General features: G+C 44.7%; 1 protein-coding gene and 1 pseudogene across 13 annotated transcripts in view; one reads left to right on the forward strand and one right to left on the reverse strand.

Moving 5' to 3' along the window:
- Positions 1-16,137, reverse strand: part of XPNPEP1 (X-prolyl aminopeptidase 1) — a 58,746-nt gene that overhangs the window by 5,026 nt on the left and 37,583 nt on the right. For 8 of the 13 annotated variants that reach the window (NM_001324128.2, NM_001324132.2, NM_001324134.2 and 5 more), the window contains 11 exons: positions 14,276-14,357; positions 12,641-12,851; positions 11,051-11,140; positions 10,397-10,447; positions 8,209-8,267; positions 7,999-8,076; positions 5,737-5,808; positions 3,576-3,636; positions 2,001-2,070; positions 940-1,113; positions 162-238 (listed from right to left, as the gene is read on the reverse strand). In NM_001324128.2, coding sequence (NP_001311057.1) covers positions 162-238; positions 940-1,113; positions 2,001-2,070; positions 3,576-3,636; positions 5,737-5,808; positions 7,999-8,076; positions 8,209-8,267; positions 10,397-10,447; positions 11,051-11,140; positions 12,641-12,851; positions 14,276-14,357 — 1,025 coding nt within the window. The remainder of the gene's footprint in view (positions 1-161; positions 239-939; positions 1,114-2,000; positions 2,071-3,575; positions 3,637-5,736; positions 5,809-7,998; positions 8,077-8,208; positions 8,268-10,396; positions 10,448-11,050; positions 11,141-12,640; positions 12,852-14,275; positions 14,358-16,137) is intronic. The other 5 variants (NM_001324135.2, NM_001324131.2, NM_001167604.2 and 2 more) reach the window with 4 other exon arrangements.
- On the forward strand, positions 15-217 carry RNU4-5P (RNA, U4 small nuclear 5, pseudogene; annotated as a pseudogene).

The following is a 16,137-nucleotide window of genomic DNA, read 5'->3' on the forward strand; positions in this document are numbered from 1 at the left end:
GCATACTCTTGGCTCCAAAGACATTAAGTCTTCATCTTCCCACACTAAGAAACAGGAAAATTTTTAAGCTTTGCGCAGTGGCAGTATTGTAGCCAATGAGGTCTATCCGAGGCGTGATTATTGCTAATAGAAACAGGAAAATTTTTTTAATAAATCCTCACCTTGGTCTTCACAGGAACCACAAGGACAACATTCTCAATGCGAATTCCAAAAGCCCCATCTTCATAGTACCCGGGCTCTAAAACAAACCAAATCCCAAAAATGAGAAGCAGCCCACGATGAAGATGTCTACAGAGAGAAACTTTCACTCCTTGGATGACTGCCCTACTCCAAAGGAGAAGAAACGGGTGAAGAGCCCACTCTATCTGGTGTAAGAGCCTAGAGATGCCACCTTCTCTCATATGGCCACTTTTTTATAGGCACTTGAGGTGCAGAAAGCTAGACTCTGAAGTCCCTGCACACTGGCTACAGGGTAAGGAGTAAAGTAACAGTGGATCCACTAAATAAATCATGGTTCACATCCGTAAGACACAATAATGAAGGCATTAAAATATATTTACAAAGACTTGGCAATGACCTGAGAAAAGGCAATGTATCAAGTAAGAAAGCAGAACATAAGACAAGATGCCCAGTAAGATCTCAATGATTTAAAAAAAAAATGCTATCTACATACCTGAAAGACCAAAAGCTAATACAGTAAAACACTAAGTCATGTTTCCCCTGAGTGGTTAGATTGCAAATGATTTTCATTTTCTTTTTACACAGTTCCCATCTCATTTTTTCTAAAATGAACATGTATCAGTTCTATAATCAGAAAAGTTTGTTGGAAGGGAAAAGTATTGCCAATTTACTTTAAACTAATTAAAAAATACAAAACAACGAATAGCTTTCAAAAAGGCTCAAGGATCCACGCATGCCCTCTATGTGAGGGACACTTACCATCAGTGACAATCATGCCTGCCTCCAAGGGCTCATCAGAGAATGTTTTGTAACTGATGCCGCAAGGACCCTCATGGACATTCAAAAAAGACCCAACACCATGTCCAGTCCCGTGCAAGTAATCTAGGCCTGAATCCCATAAAGCTGAACGGGCAAAGGAGTCAAGAAGGTGACCTGAAAGACATAAAGAGCCACTTAATTGTATTTGTACAGCGCTTTAGAGATTAAATTTATTATGTGTGGCTCCAGAACGTGAAACAGAAACCAATAGGTAAGTTACTGGAGGGTTCAGATTTCAGCACAGCACAAGGAAGAACTTTCTAACAATCAGAGCTCCTGAGAAACCATCAGAGCTCAGTCTGAAGCTAGGCGATCATCCATTCAGGATGCTGGTGAGCGGGGATAGACACCTACAGCACACAGAGGCCGTATCAGACATGGACGTTCCCTTGCCAGCTCTGCGACCCTAAGGTTTCAGAATTACAAAGATGAGACTCTAACCAGACTGCAAGCAGACAGGCAGGCATGACAGATGAGGAAACTGAGGCCTAGGGAGATGAGTACATGTCTAATCTACCCAAAAGCAAGGCAGCCCAGGTCTTGTCAATGCCCAGTCCAATGCTCCACCCACCAGGCCTCAAGCAAAGTAGTACATAGCTGAAGTCAGGGTCCCAGTAAAATAAATCCTAAGAATCCCGAAAGGAAGCACTGGCCCAGTACTAAAGGGCAGACAGGAGGCTGCACCAACTTCCACTCAGGCCCTGTGACCTTCATATCTGGTTTGTCCTCTCCTGGGAGCCATCCACATGTGTCATCCAATACCATAAGTGGTCAGGAGAATGGTGCACAGGGGGTACTGGGCCCAATCCTAACCCGGCTCCCTGAGGCCTCTGGGCTCAGTCAGTGGGTTATGGAGACTCACCCCATGAGCACCTGGCTGGGCCTGAAGTGGGATGGGGACCTCACAGTGAAGGAACGACATGTTCTTTCACTCAAACATAGACATATTTGATTCTCAAACAAGAAAAAGAGCCTGCCATGTGACAGAATGCACCACCTACCTTTGGTTCCAGTCGGGAAAACGGCTGCACTCACAGCTATGTGGCCCTTGAGGACATATGTGAAGCATTCCTGCAAAGAAAACCCAGGGGCATGTTGCAGAATGGGGACAGATGTCTAATCCTGTAGTTTTCTGGTAGTTCAGAAAATCCTGCCTGCTAAAGTTTTTAGCAATATCATAGAGAAAATGTAAGTAAAAAGAAAAAAATCTGGTGGAAAAAAAGCCTGGCCACGGGACCAATTTCCCAGAAAATCTTGAAATTCAATTTAGTAGAAGAGCACTGTCAGAGAGATGACCCCACATGACTTTATAATGAACACTCTGACATACTCCATCATGTGAGCCTTAGAAAGAATGGAAAAGTAATAAAAAGTACTGATGACCCTAGCTAACATTACTGAGCTATCCTCTGTGCCACGCACTATTCTAAGCACTGTATGTTTGATCCCACACTTCACGATGGAGGCACTACTGTTATCCTCGCTTCACAGAGAGATTCAGTAGCATGCCCAGATCACACAGTGCCTAAGTGGCAGCATCTGGCCTTGGAGCCAGGCACTCTTGCTTCAACAGCTGTGCTCCCTACCACCATCCTATCTTCAGGGGTTATCCCCACTGTCCGGACAAGAGAAGTGCTACTCAGAAGTGTAGCAGCTTGCCAGTAAGGTGCAGAGTCAGGACTAAAACTCCATGCTCCTCAGCCTGGTTGAGCTCTTTGAAAAGCACAAAAAGAGTCACACCAAAAGAATCCTAGACGCAAGGTCCAAATTCTTCTAAGGCACTGGTGAATACAAATGGAAAAGGCAAGGGACCAAGACAATGAAACCTGCCCCACTACATTGCATAAAACCCTTTTCCTTGGATAATCTTCCTGAAGGAGCTCTCTTGGACAAACAGATTCACTTAGGTGCTCAATCAGCATTTGCTGAGCAGTGACTATGATCCAGGAACTTGCTGGGCTCATGGGAATTCACAGCCACCCGGGAAGGTGGGTCCTTTTATCCTCATTTTTATGGATGGTGACTGCTTTGTTCAACGTCACAGAGCTAGTAAATGGCACAGAAGCTCTGAAGCCAGGTCTCCAGACCCCTAGTACACATCTCTCTGCCTCACAGCTCTCTTTCCCCTTTCCATGCCAATCATACCAGAAACTTAATAGAGTCTGTCATTTCAGAAAGTTTCCAGAGAGTTAAGCCTGTAAATAAGAATCTCAAAAAAAGAAGGGGGTGGCCTTCAAAATCAAATCTAGGCACTGCTTATAAAGCATGTATTTCACTCTCTCATCCCCAGCCTCAAAGGCATTTCCTGACTCAAGAGAAGGCCAAAGCTATTATATTTAAACTTACACCTGAGCTGCCCTAACCTTAGCAGAATGCTTTAAAAATTTCTCCAAATGTCTTATTCCAATAATTAGTTAAATGAACCTCGTAAAGCAGATAAGCCTGACTCCACAGCAAGGAGCAATTTTACTACCCCACATGTAATTTTTACTTCTTTATACAATCCCTTTTCATAAAAGCAATGCTCTTCTTAAGAAAGCAGAGAGGACCTCTTGAGTTTTTTACCTCCACCTTACCTTCTCGTAGGCTGTAGGGGTCCCAAAATGCATTGTCCGCGTCACATCTGTGGTGCCATCCCTTTCCAAAAAAAGGACAAATTGGTTTCCCGTCAAAATAAGCTTTAAGTCAAATATGACACAGGCAAGCATGTGGACAAGTGAGAAGCCCCATACAATGCTGGTGGGCATGTAAAATAGCACAGCCATCTTTGCAAATAGTTCGCAGTTCCTTAAAAGGTTAAATATAGTCACCATATGACCCAGTAATTCCACTCCTAGTTATATATCCAAGAGAACTGAAAACATACATCCACACAAAAACTTGTACATGAAGGTTCACAGCCACATTATTCATAATAGCCAGAAGATGGAAACAGCTGAAATGTCCATCAACTGATGAATGGATAAACAAAATGGGGGATTATCCACACAGTGCAATACCATTCAGTAATTAAAAAGAAATGGAATACTGATACATGCTGCAACATGGATGAACCTGGAAGACATTGTGCTAAATGACAGAAGCCAGACACAGAAAGCCATACATAATACAATTCTATTTCTATGAAGGGTCCAAAATAGGCAAATCCATAGATACAGAAAGGAGAGTAGTGGTTCTCCAGGGTAGTGGAAAAGGGGGTAGTGACCGCTATTGGGTATGAGGTTTCTTTTTGGGGTAATGAAAATGTTCTAAAATTGATTGTGCTGATGGCTGCAAAACTCTGTGAATATATAAAAAAAATTAATTGTATATTTTAAGTGGGTGAATTACATGGTACATAAATTTTACCCCAATGAAGTTATTTTAAAAAATGAAACAAAGTGTGAATGCAGGGATGGCTAAATAAACTGGGAGTGACGTCAGCCCCTGACACACGCATTCTTGGTCTACAGCATAAGGGCTGTTTCACGAGAGACACTATCACTGGGGTTATGAACAAGACAGAAGAAGGCAAAGAAAACAGGAGCCCATCTCTAGCAAAAGAGGGCCAAAACCCAACTTCTCCTGTTAGAACAGCAGGGGGTTTCCTGGACAGAGACCCTAAAAATATCCAAGTACATATCTTAACACACACTAGACTATATCCCTGACATAGAAAGGATAACTTCTAGAATCCTGCTAAAAATTTAGAAGTGAAGAAAAGTTTACACCATTATCAAGCAATCCTTAGCTCTAGGCTGATATTATTAACACCCCTGTGTCCCAAGGCCAGGCATGGTTGCCACGTAATTGGCTGAGCTCATTCAATAATTAGGTCCTCCCTTAGCCATAGTCCCAACTTCAGTGGGGAATGGAGCAGCACTAAAAGGTCTTGCTCGGCTGGGCACAGTGGCTCACGCCTGTAATCCCAGCACTTTGGGAGGCCGAGACCGGCGGATCACGAGGTCAGGAGATCGAGACCATCCTGGCTAACATGGTGAAACCCCGTCTCCACTAAAAATACAAAAAATTAGCCGGGCGTGGTGGCGGGCACCTGTAGTCCCAGCTACTTGGGAGGCTGAGGCAGGAGAATGGCTGCAACCCAGGAGGCAGAGCTTGCAGTGAGCCGAGATCACGCCACTGCACTCCTGCCTGGGCTACAGAGTGAGACTCTGTCTCAAAAAAAAGGCCTTGCTCGTGCCCTCTTAATGCAGACAGGGTCTATTCTTACTCCTTCTTTTGGGTTCCGTATCAAGACCCAACCAAATCTTGGGTTCTTCTCTGAGAAACTTTGTTCCAGAGATGATAGCCGTGAAAGCAGCAAAACATGGAGAAAGAAATTCAGAAATGTGGGGGCAGCCCTCATTTCTCATTTATTCATTCAAAATTAATCCCTTACTTCATAAGGCCCTGGGGCAGCTGAGAGTACAGGGAACCGGCAGGCGGTTCATGGGCTGGGGTGGAAAACTTTCAACGGTTCCAAAAGCTTGCTTTACTTCACAGTTGTTTACTTATATTTTTAAAACTTCCAGCCAAGGACTGTAACATTTCTATCAAACAGTCTTTTGTGAGAACAGAGTCACAACTGGGCTATTTCAAATAGGGGTGAAAAAAATGACAAGACACAGGAACGATTCCATTAGTGGCCAGCACAGAGGGCGATGACCAGCTGAGTGCTCTCAGCTGGAGCTCAGCTGTCCACCTTCTCCACTGCCTCGAATCCATAGTCAAGTTCCACAGCAGTCCTGGTTTACTTACTTGTATTGAGCACCCGAGTCAATAAGGTACACCTCATCCAGGGACAAGGTCCTATTCGTCTCAGGGACTGGCCTAACAAAGTTAATTAAAAATTAATTATTCCACAAATGTAAACACTTAGTGAATCTGGGAGGAGGACACACAAGAGCTCTTTGTACTATTCTTGCAACTTACATAAGCCTGAAATTATATCAAAATAGAAAGTTATGCAATAATGAATTATTTCAACTAATATTAAACTTCTACTTTTCAAAGATCCAATCAACCTATCTCCCCAGCTGAGATAAAGAGCTCAACAAAGGAAAAGTAACACATTTCTTTATGTCTACCTCTGTTTGTGTCTGAAACAAAATAGGTGTTCAAGAGATAATTCTAAAAGCTAAAAAAATGAGAACGATTAGATGCAACAGGACCTAGCTAGAGTCCTGGGAACTGGGACAGGAGCAGCCTGGAGTCACTGCAGCCTTGCTTGTCTCTGGGAGCCCCAGGCCCCTGCCTCAGCCTCCAGGCCCCTCCTTCAGCCCTGACCCCAGCAGGTACCTCCCCACTCGCTCCCCAGACTGCTAGACAGGCAGGAGTGGATGTCTCAACTTGGGAGAAAAACTAAAGGAATTTTGCTGGGAAAAGGAATGGATCACGATATTCTTCTGCTTCAAACAAACATGAGGTATTTTCAAAAAGTGATCTCTTTCCCCACACCGTTTTCAAAACAATATCACTGCACTGGGAAACACCCAAAGGGATGAGAGCACTCCAAGTCTCTGCCCTGCAGCTGAAGTGAGGTTGTCCTCCATTTCCAGGTACCACCCCCTCTTCAGCAATAAGGGCACCAGTCCACACACAAGCTGAACAACTAAAAAAGACAACCAGTACCTCCAGAACCCCGCCTCTAAACAGGCTTCCAACCACCCACAATGAAGAAATGCCAACGCAGAGGCAAATTTCTTCCACTGGCATGAAACTGTTTAATGTTTTAATTATACGGAAAATTCTAGGATAGTATCCAGCCAGGAAATTCATCCTGAGTTAAACAAAAACTGAAGTCCCTCTGATATTTTTATGCTGGAACAGAAGCATTAAGTGAGGAAACTGTACTGTCCCATCTGTGACTGTCTCCCACACACAGCTTCAAAATCTGCCCCAAGACTAAAAGCTCTAAAAACAATTATTAAAAGGGGGAAAAAAGTGTGTGCCCAAGCACAGTGTTCTTTTGTTGGCTGTGCATGTAACAGATGGGGATGCACAGAACTCAAAATACCCAGTGCAAAGCAAAGCGGTTTGAACCAGGCAGAGCTGAGGCTGAAGCCCAATGGCCACACCTAATGACATTTCCCCCCATCTCCACAGGAAGATCTGTCAGTCCTAGACATATCAGTGCCCCTCTGTCTCACAAGGAAGGGAGGCTCGGCCCTGTGGGTCCATGGGTTCTTGTAGACCACGTGGTAAAAAAACCACATACTGGGATGCCAGGCTTCAGGCTCAGGGGGACAGGAAGAGAGGGTACTGATTATCTCTCCACCCAAAACAGGTTGCCTCACAACCTACTACTAAGTTTTTTTTTGGTATGGAACTGATGGAGCTCACAAGATGTATGGACTAGTACAAAACAGCTGCTGTTACCAAGAAAGAAAACTACTCAAAAATTCCAGTCATGGGCCAAGCACAGTGGCTCACACCTGTAATTCCAGCACTTTAGGAGGCTGAGGCAGGAGGATTGCTTGAGTCCAGAAATTCGAGACAAGCCTGGGCAACACATCAAGATCCTCATCTCTACAAAAAAATCTAAAAATTAGCCAGGAGTGGTAGCACATGCCTATAGTCCCAGCTACTCAGGAGGCTGAGGCAGGAGGATTGCTTGAGTCTAGGAGTTCAAAGTTGCAGTGAGTTGTGATGGCACCACTGCGCTCCAGCCTGGGCAGCAGAGCAAGACCTTGTCTCCAAAAAAAAAAAAACTTAGTCATCAAGATGCAAGGGCTATGCATACAGTTCCTGCAGCTTCAAAAAGGAAAGAGGGACACCCATCTGACTACCCTGCAGAGAATGCCAGTGCCATACTGAGCCTAAGAAGAGGCTCCCAAAAGGCAGAGGCTTGGGGATTGGGAGAAAATAAAATCTTAGAAGTCTTATTTCCCTTCATTTTACAGTCTCAACAGACAGATGAAGGTGGGCACAGAGGCCTCTGGTAAAATAATGTCTCTCCCCTGCTCAGGCTCCTGTGCAGAAGCAGCAAGGCCAGGCAGCATGCTCCTCCGCATGCCTTACGCGTAGTGAATGATGGCGCCGTTGGGTCCCGTACTGGAAATTGTTGGGAAGCTCAGGTCCACAAAGTCTGCCTGTTGCCTGTAACAGAAAGACAGAAAGCAGAGTGGCTTAAAGGTTTTTACTGTGCTAAGATTCAGGGCCCTTCCAGCCTCATTCAACTAGCAAGAAAATCAGCACGAGGCTCCTGGGTCCCCCCAAATGGATCCTTACCTGCGAAACTCCTCAGCTTTGTCAGCAGCTGAGATCTCTGTCACACCACCTTTGGGAACCTATGAGAAAATTGCTTATAAATCATCTGGTGAGATAAATTCATGTGTGCCTCTTACAAATTAGAGGAGGTACATTAAAAGCTCACTTTTTCCTCAATTGCTTCATCCCAACTGACCAATCTACAGGACACATCTTTAGCAAGGGAGAACTCCCAAAGGCTCTCACCAAAGCTATCTAAAATCCAATAGTTTCTATTCATTTAATTTTTCACTCAACTATTGTGCTTCAGTATTTTATCCTAAAACCTCCCAAAACAACATATCTAAGTTTAAAAATTCAAAAGCATCCCCTCCTAAGAAATCATCGTAAGAAAATCATTCTAGAGAAATAAAAAAGATAAATGCGGAGAGATTATTGCAGGATTACTGATAACAGCAAAAAATTAAAAACAACCCAAACATTTAAAAATAGGAGGACTGGGTTAGTAAATCAGAAGAGCCACTAGATGCAGTTTTCATTTGGATCCTTTTTTAAGGCCTCAATGTACATGGAAAATGTTCACACTATGATTCTAAGAGAATAAAATAAAACACAAAATCATATCTAAGCCAGGTGTGATGGCTCACACCTATAATCCTAGCACTTTGGGAGGCCAAGATAGGTGGATCGCTTGAGCCCAGGAGTTTCAGATCAGCCTGGGCAACATGGCAAAACCTTATCTCTACAAAAAAATCAGAAAAAATCAGGTGGGCTGTAGTCCCAACTAATCGGGAGGCTGAGGTGGGAGGATCACCTGAGCTTGGGGAGGCTGAGGCTGCAGTGAGCTGTGATCACACCACTACTCTCCAGCCTGTGCAACAGATGAGACCCCATCTCAAAATAAGAAAAAAAAAAAGAAAAAAAATTTATCTGCACACTAAGAGACATGTAAAAATAATTTATATTTTTAAAAATAATTTACGGCCAGGCACGGTGGCTCACGCCTGTAATCCCAGCACTTTGGGAGGCCGAGGCGGGCGGATCACAAGGTCAGGAGATCGAGACCATCCTGGCTAACACAGTGAAACCCCGTCTCTACTAAAAATACAAAAAATTAGCCAAGCATGGTGGCGGGCGCCTGTAGTCCCAGCTAGTCGGGAGGCTGAGGCAGGAGAATGGCGTGAACCCAGGAGACGGAGCTTGCAGTGAGCCGAGATCGCTCCACTGCACTCCAGCCTGGGCGATGGAGCAAGGCTCTGTCTCAAAAATAAAAAAAAATAATAAAAATGTAATAATAATAATTTACATAAAGTCCAGGCATGGTGGCTCATGCCTGTAATCCCAGCACTTTGGGAGGCCGAGGTGGGTGGATCACAAGGTCAGGAGTTCAAGACCAGCCTGGCCAAGATGGTGAAACCCCATCTCTACTACAACTACGAAAATTAGCCAGGCGCAGTGGCAGGCGCCTATAATCCCAGCTACTTGGGAGGCTAAGGCAGGAGAATCTCTTGAACCTGGGCAGCAGAGGTTGCAGTGAGCCGAGATCACACCACTGCACTCCAGCCTGGGTGACAGAGTGAGACTCCGTCTCAAAAAATAAAATAAAATAAAATAATAATAATAATTTACATAGATGAACAATCACCAGAAGGAAACATGAGGGAAAAAGTTACACTAGTGGGAATAAAGACAATATTTTCTTTTCCCAATTAAAGAGTTGTTTATACAATACTTAAAGGGAACATGATATTGTTTAATAACACCACAGAGAAACCACCCTCTTGTCAACTAGAGCAAGAAATTAATGGCCAAGAGTCAATTTAATATAAAAAGGCTCAAGGCTTAAACTGAAGTTCAAAATGTACACAAAGATCTTTTTCTCCTAATACAATCAGCTTGCCTATAATAATATTATAAGACTCATTTTTCCTTATAATGAAATTCCACTTAGTTATGATTCCCTAACCCAAAAAGCATCCACTCTATTATGGAACTTTTCTTCATTCTTGTTACTATTTTCATAATTAAGGAATTTTGAAATCTACACACACCAAATTTCCAGAGAGAATTATTAAAATAGAGCCCAAAAATTTGATGAAGATCTCAGATCTCATGGTCAGCAGAGCATGGGAGATGCTAGAGTTAGAATCACATATAGGTAGGTCTGAATAATGTATATCCACATATTAAACAAAGACTAAGAACCAACCTCTTTCTCCAGCCAGTTAAAGAGTTCACAGAGAGCAACAGCATCTTTAATCTGTGCAAACAATGGAGACATTTTTTAAGTTATCACTGAAAATCACGTGACCAGATTCAGAGCCTAGCCCTAATGCAATACTGAGAAGGCTGTACCTGCAGGGCCACACATCATCAGCAACCAGAGCTTTACATGTGGACATTTCTGGGAAGCTGGTGTGTGCAGCAACTCCCATTATCAGGGAAAGGCTCCTCTGCTATTCAGTAGTTCAGGTACAATCAGGAAGGGCCCCACCTCAGAGCACAGGGAGCTCCTCCAAAAGGTTAACTTAAAGGTTAAGAACCCTACAGGGGCCAGGAAAAAACAGGCCACTATCAAAAGCCACCTCTGGGCCCAAAATCTTTCTTCATCAGCATCACGTCATCACCATCATCTACACTGTGAACATCAATATCTCCTTTTGTATTGTGTATTATACTTTGTAAAGATCTAATCCATCAAGTATTTTATTTCATTCCCTCAATAACTCCTCCTGGAAGGCCAGGAGGCTGAGGCTCAGAGAGATTCTAACCTTGTGCCAGGCTCAATGCCACAGAGGAGGTGAAGGAGCCGGGCCTTCTGACCACCTCACATCCCATCTTCTGCACCAGCTCCTCTACTCACGTGAGCCCGCCTCATGCCTTCTGACTCAGCTGAATTCTTCACAGCTTTGGCGATGCAGATGGGGGTGTAAGGCATACAGCAGCGGTGGTCCTAGAGGCAAAGGGCAGTAGGGTGGGAAATCAAACCGGCTCCACCCACCCAAGACCAAGGCAACAACCTTTTTGCTCAGCAAAACTTACTTTAGACAAATCATTTGAAGAGCTCCCACTGGCGACCCATATAGCTATCCCCTGGGGCCCCAACGACCTGTCCCTTTTGATTGATGACCCTGAGCTTAAGCTCAACCAAAAAGAGTAAGTACATCAAACAAGGTGTCTCTCTTCCATCCCTCACTCCCTTAGCTCTTTGAGACTGCTGGCTGCCTGCCGTCAGCAAGACATTGCTTTCCAAGCCACTGTGGTTGTGGTTAGAGTTCACTAACACTGAAAGCTTGACCGAAATCACCCTTCTCTTGCTGTACAAAGGGGGCTTTTTCTCCCTGTCTAGCCATGCACATGACCTGATGAGTGAGGTCTCCTGCTCCCTCCCTTCCCGCCCAGTGGTCCTATCTCAGCTACTGATAATAATCTGATCTTGAAGGGCTGGAGAAGACCCTTTCCAATTTGAGAACAAGTTAGAATCCAGCAGAGGGGCCTCAGCACACCTGGCACTTGCACAAAGCTTCTAAAATTGCTTTTGTGATCTTATCTCCTTTTCTCTTTCTCTCCAGAGAGAGAGGAGAGAGAGAGAGGAGGAGTCACACTGTGTGTGATGATGGCAGGGGTACAATGGCAAGCCAGATCTAGAGAGCCAGGCCTGGATTCTTCCCAGGATGCCCCACTGCTCAGTGGAGAAGAAAGGACATCACTGGGCTTGCCAAAGGCCACTTGGCAGCCAGAGGCCCAGGGGAGGACAGTAGAAAAGCCTACCTCTAAAGAGGCCTGGATTCCAGTCCCATCCCAGACCCTAATGAAAATGAGGCAACAAGTGTCAGCTGCTTAGCACTGCCCAGCAAGGGCTCAGTAAAGGGCAAGGCTATCACTATCACTTGAATTTGACAAATCCCCAAATCCCCAACTCCCCAATCCTCTCTGAGCCTCAAGTGTCCTTAGCTATAAAATGTGGTGCGGCAGAAGGAGGGGGTAGAGAAGCATTTCCCAAGCTTCAAGCATTCTTATACCACCTGCACAGCTTTTACCCTAGCTTCTTAACTGCTGTACCCTTATTCACTTAGTACTTTACTTTAGACCATCTTTAAATCAGCTTTATTAAATTCAACTTTATTTTAAATAATTATATCATGAACTCATGCTAGTTATGTTTTTTCTATTATATGCTAAATGCTGTTAAAACAGATATATTTAAGCAAACCTAAATAATAATGTGTACCACCTAAAATAATCTCTCATGCCACACTCTGGAAAACACAAGACTCAACAAGCAATAAGGGCCCTCAGGCTCTTGCTATGGCTCCAGCTTTAAGGCCTCATCCATGGAGACCACAGTTCTGATCCAACAGGCAGCCTCAGAAATCTGCCTGTGCTCCAAAGACAATACCAGAACTGGGAAGGGGGTGGCAGAGTTTAGATGGGCCAAAGTGGGGTCACCAACCTTGGGGATGGTCTCGCTCACAGCATAGCTGGCCTTGTCACTGACCCACACCTTCTCCCTTGGGGAGAGGTCAGCACACAGGGCCTTGAGCTCGCTCAGGATGGACTTGTAGGGATGCACCTGGATCCTGTATTCGGCTTCCAGACCCAAGTCAAGAAGCAGGTGCTCCTTCACACTGGGGGCGTCTATGCGGTCACCATCAATGAAGAGCCTGCAGATGGAGGAGAGGTGGGTGGCAGAAAAAGGAGGGAACATGAGTGAGAGGTGGCAACACAGACACACATACACATCAGGCTCTGTTTCCTGGCAACCAAAACCAAGCCCCTTTTCTCTCCTCCCCACTCCTTTCCCAAATCCTGCCCTCCAAGGTGCATTCCCTGCCCCCATCCACCCAATCTGCCAAGCCAGAAATCTGGGCAGTGTCCTCCTTCACTGATGACCCTCTTCCCGTCCTTCATTAAGACCTTGGGACCCACAGCCTAAATCTCCATCTAATCTGTCCAGCTCATCTACAGCCTCGCCCAGTCACCACTCAGGTTCAGGTCCCACCATCTCTCACTTGGGTTAGTGCCACAGCCTCTAAGTCTTTCCCCATCTACCGATGTTTCAGTCATAATATTCTTTACAACTTGTACATCTAACATGTGGTTCCCTCTGAAAAATTCGTTCAATAGCTTCCCACTATTCTTGTTCAGAAAAAGAACCCAAGCTCCTGAATGTGGCCCACAAGGCCTCTCTTTTCTGTGGCCCCTGCTCACATTCTGGCCTCACTATGTTCTGACCTCACTGAACCACTTCAGGTCCTCCACATGCACTGTGCTCTCTACTGTCCAGAGTCTCTGAAAATGCTGTTCCCTCTGCTTGGATCATGGTTCCCCGCCCCTCCTCACCCTGCCATTCACCTAACTCACCCACATTTATCCTTACTCTCTGCTTCAAAATATTACTTTCCCCAAGAGTCTGCTCTGATCTCCAAGTCTAGGTCAGGCCCCTCTCGTAACACCTGTATCTGTCCCACAAGCAGACTGGTGCCCACTTATGTGCCCAAATACTTTAGAAAGAGGACATGCTCATCTCCCCAACTCCAGCCAAGGACCCCGTCCTGTTTCAGTCACCCTAGCACCTAACAGAGACCCTTAGCACATCACCAGCACTTAATAAATGTGTTGTCTTAATGCAAAAAGCTATTGAAATAGAACAGTAATGAAAAGAAGGCCACACGAAATGCTTTGAAAAAATAAACTGACAATTCAACAAAGCGTAGTTGGAGGGGTTTTCCCATATTATTTTTGACCTTCAAAATGACTGGGTTTATTTGCATTGTGGACCCAGAATTGTATAATTGAGCATATATACCCCTTAACACTGGCTGCTAGAAAACTTGACATCAAATGGGTGGCCCGAACTATAGACACTTTCATGCGTTTCAAACCATTTTGGGGGCTCAAAGAGAGGCAGGATATAAATAAACACCTACTGCTAAGGAAAACAAGAAGGGAAAATGTTAAAAGGGCAAGAAAAAAGAAGCACATCAGTGAAATATCAGGCAGTGATGGGTGGGCCAGGACCAGAAAGGGCACACTAGGGCTCTGAGGAGCTCTGGAAGGGAGTTCCAGATGCAGGGCAAACACTCACATGATCGTCTCTAGTCCTATGATTGCGTAGGAGAAAAATACTGGATTGTGCTCCACATCTGATCCTCGGAGATTAAATAGCCCTAGAAAAGAAATCAAAATCCCTGTCACCTGTCTGACTTAAGATGTTAAGGGGTCGCTTGTAGCGGGAGGGAAGAGCTTCAGCTTGGAGTCCAGCTGCTGCGCAAGGATTCAGTGGAATCGCACAGAAAGGCTGGAAGCCTGACTCCCGTCTGGTTCCACCTCTGAGCTGCAATTGCTCATGTCCACCACGTGATGGCACCAGAGCTGTTTCTCAGGCTTCCACATCACTGCCCGGAGAAGGGAATAAAAGCTATTAGTTGAAATCCTGAGAACTGCCCCCACAAGGAGTTGAAATGATCCGCCTAGTGGTGACCTGCCAGGCCTGGCCTTGAAGCCGACAAACCTCTGGCGCTCCCAAATAAAAAGGAAGGAGACGAGCACTCTCTCCCTTCTGAGGCAGATGACCTAGGGTAGAAAAACTGAGACCCTCCCACAAGGGAAGCCAGGCAAGCCTCCTCTGTAAGGGTCAGTGAGCCCCATGGAGACGGAGCTTCCTGTCAGAGGTGGAAAGAAAAGCAGTGAGTCAGCAAGGCTGCAGCTCACCAATGAAATCAGAGCCTGCAGCCCACCCATGGGTCTGCTCTGGCACCACGACTGGGTGGGGGACCTGCGGACAGCCAGTAACAGTGATGTTGCTGAACGTCTGAGAACTAGACAGACCAGGAGAGAGCACAGTTCTGGTCCCAGGACTTCCAGCTTCCGTCACTTGTTCTCATGAGGATCAGAGCAAAAAAACGCCTGGGCATTAAAAGTATAACCTCTATTTTAAAATAATGGCTTCTTAAAGTGATGAGGCACCATTTTTTACCTATCATACTAGCACTTCTTTAAAAATGACAGTACCTGGTGTTCAGGTGTGGCAAGACAGACAAATTCAAATACAAAGGTGCAAACTTTCTGGCAGACAAAGGGCAAGATGAGTCAAAAGCCCTAAAAGCCAACCAGAAATAGGAAGAAAATTATCAAACACTAAGACATGGATTCATGAACCAAGATTTTGATGGTAGCATCATAATAAATTACAGGATTACTGCAAATAACCCAAAGGTCATCCTTAGGGAAACAGTTAAATAAATTATGGTATAACCACATGATGGAGTATTTAATACTCACTTAAAATTATGCTTGTATATGCTTATAGTGTACTGATACAGTGAAAAAATCAGGCTATAAAATGATATATGCATAGAATATTGACACTGATTATCTCTAAGTAACAGAATTTATACGTGATTTTTTTTTTCTTCTTTTTACTTCCTCTGCATTTTCCAAGTTTTCTATCATGGGATTGTGTTTTTGTTACAATCAGGGAGAGAGAAAAGTTTTACAGGTGTTTTTCTCTGACGTTGAGATCATTAAGTTAATTAGGGATGTAAGTCACTGACACACTTGACAATGTTTTGTGGATGGAAGATGCAGGGACTGAAGAGAGAGGACACTGCAGTAGGGTCTCATTCTCTAGTGAGAAGGCAAAAAGATAAAGCAGTGCCTCTTCTCAGTTGCCCTGGGTCAAATCCACTCAGAAACCAGAAGACAGGACAGGAAGGTTCAACCAGATTCCGTCAGGTTTTAGATGAAAGAAGGTGCTGAACAACTGCATGAAGGTGGGTTAAGGTCCAAAGACTGAGAAACTACTATTACATCAAAGGGCTTGGGGAGGAACTTTTAGTTCCTAGTTTTCTGAGGTAGAAATGCTCCCAGAACATTCTCACTATAAAGACCTTAGGAAACCACAGGACAAGTGTAAAGAAAGAAGGCCTCTCCTATGAGCCCACTTCT

This window comes from Homo sapiens, chromosome 10 (assembly GCF_000001405.40).
Source record: "Homo sapiens chromosome 10, GRCh38.p14 Primary Assembly".
Lineage (NCBI taxonomy): Eukaryota > Metazoa > Chordata > Mammalia > Primates > Hominidae > Homo > Homo sapiens.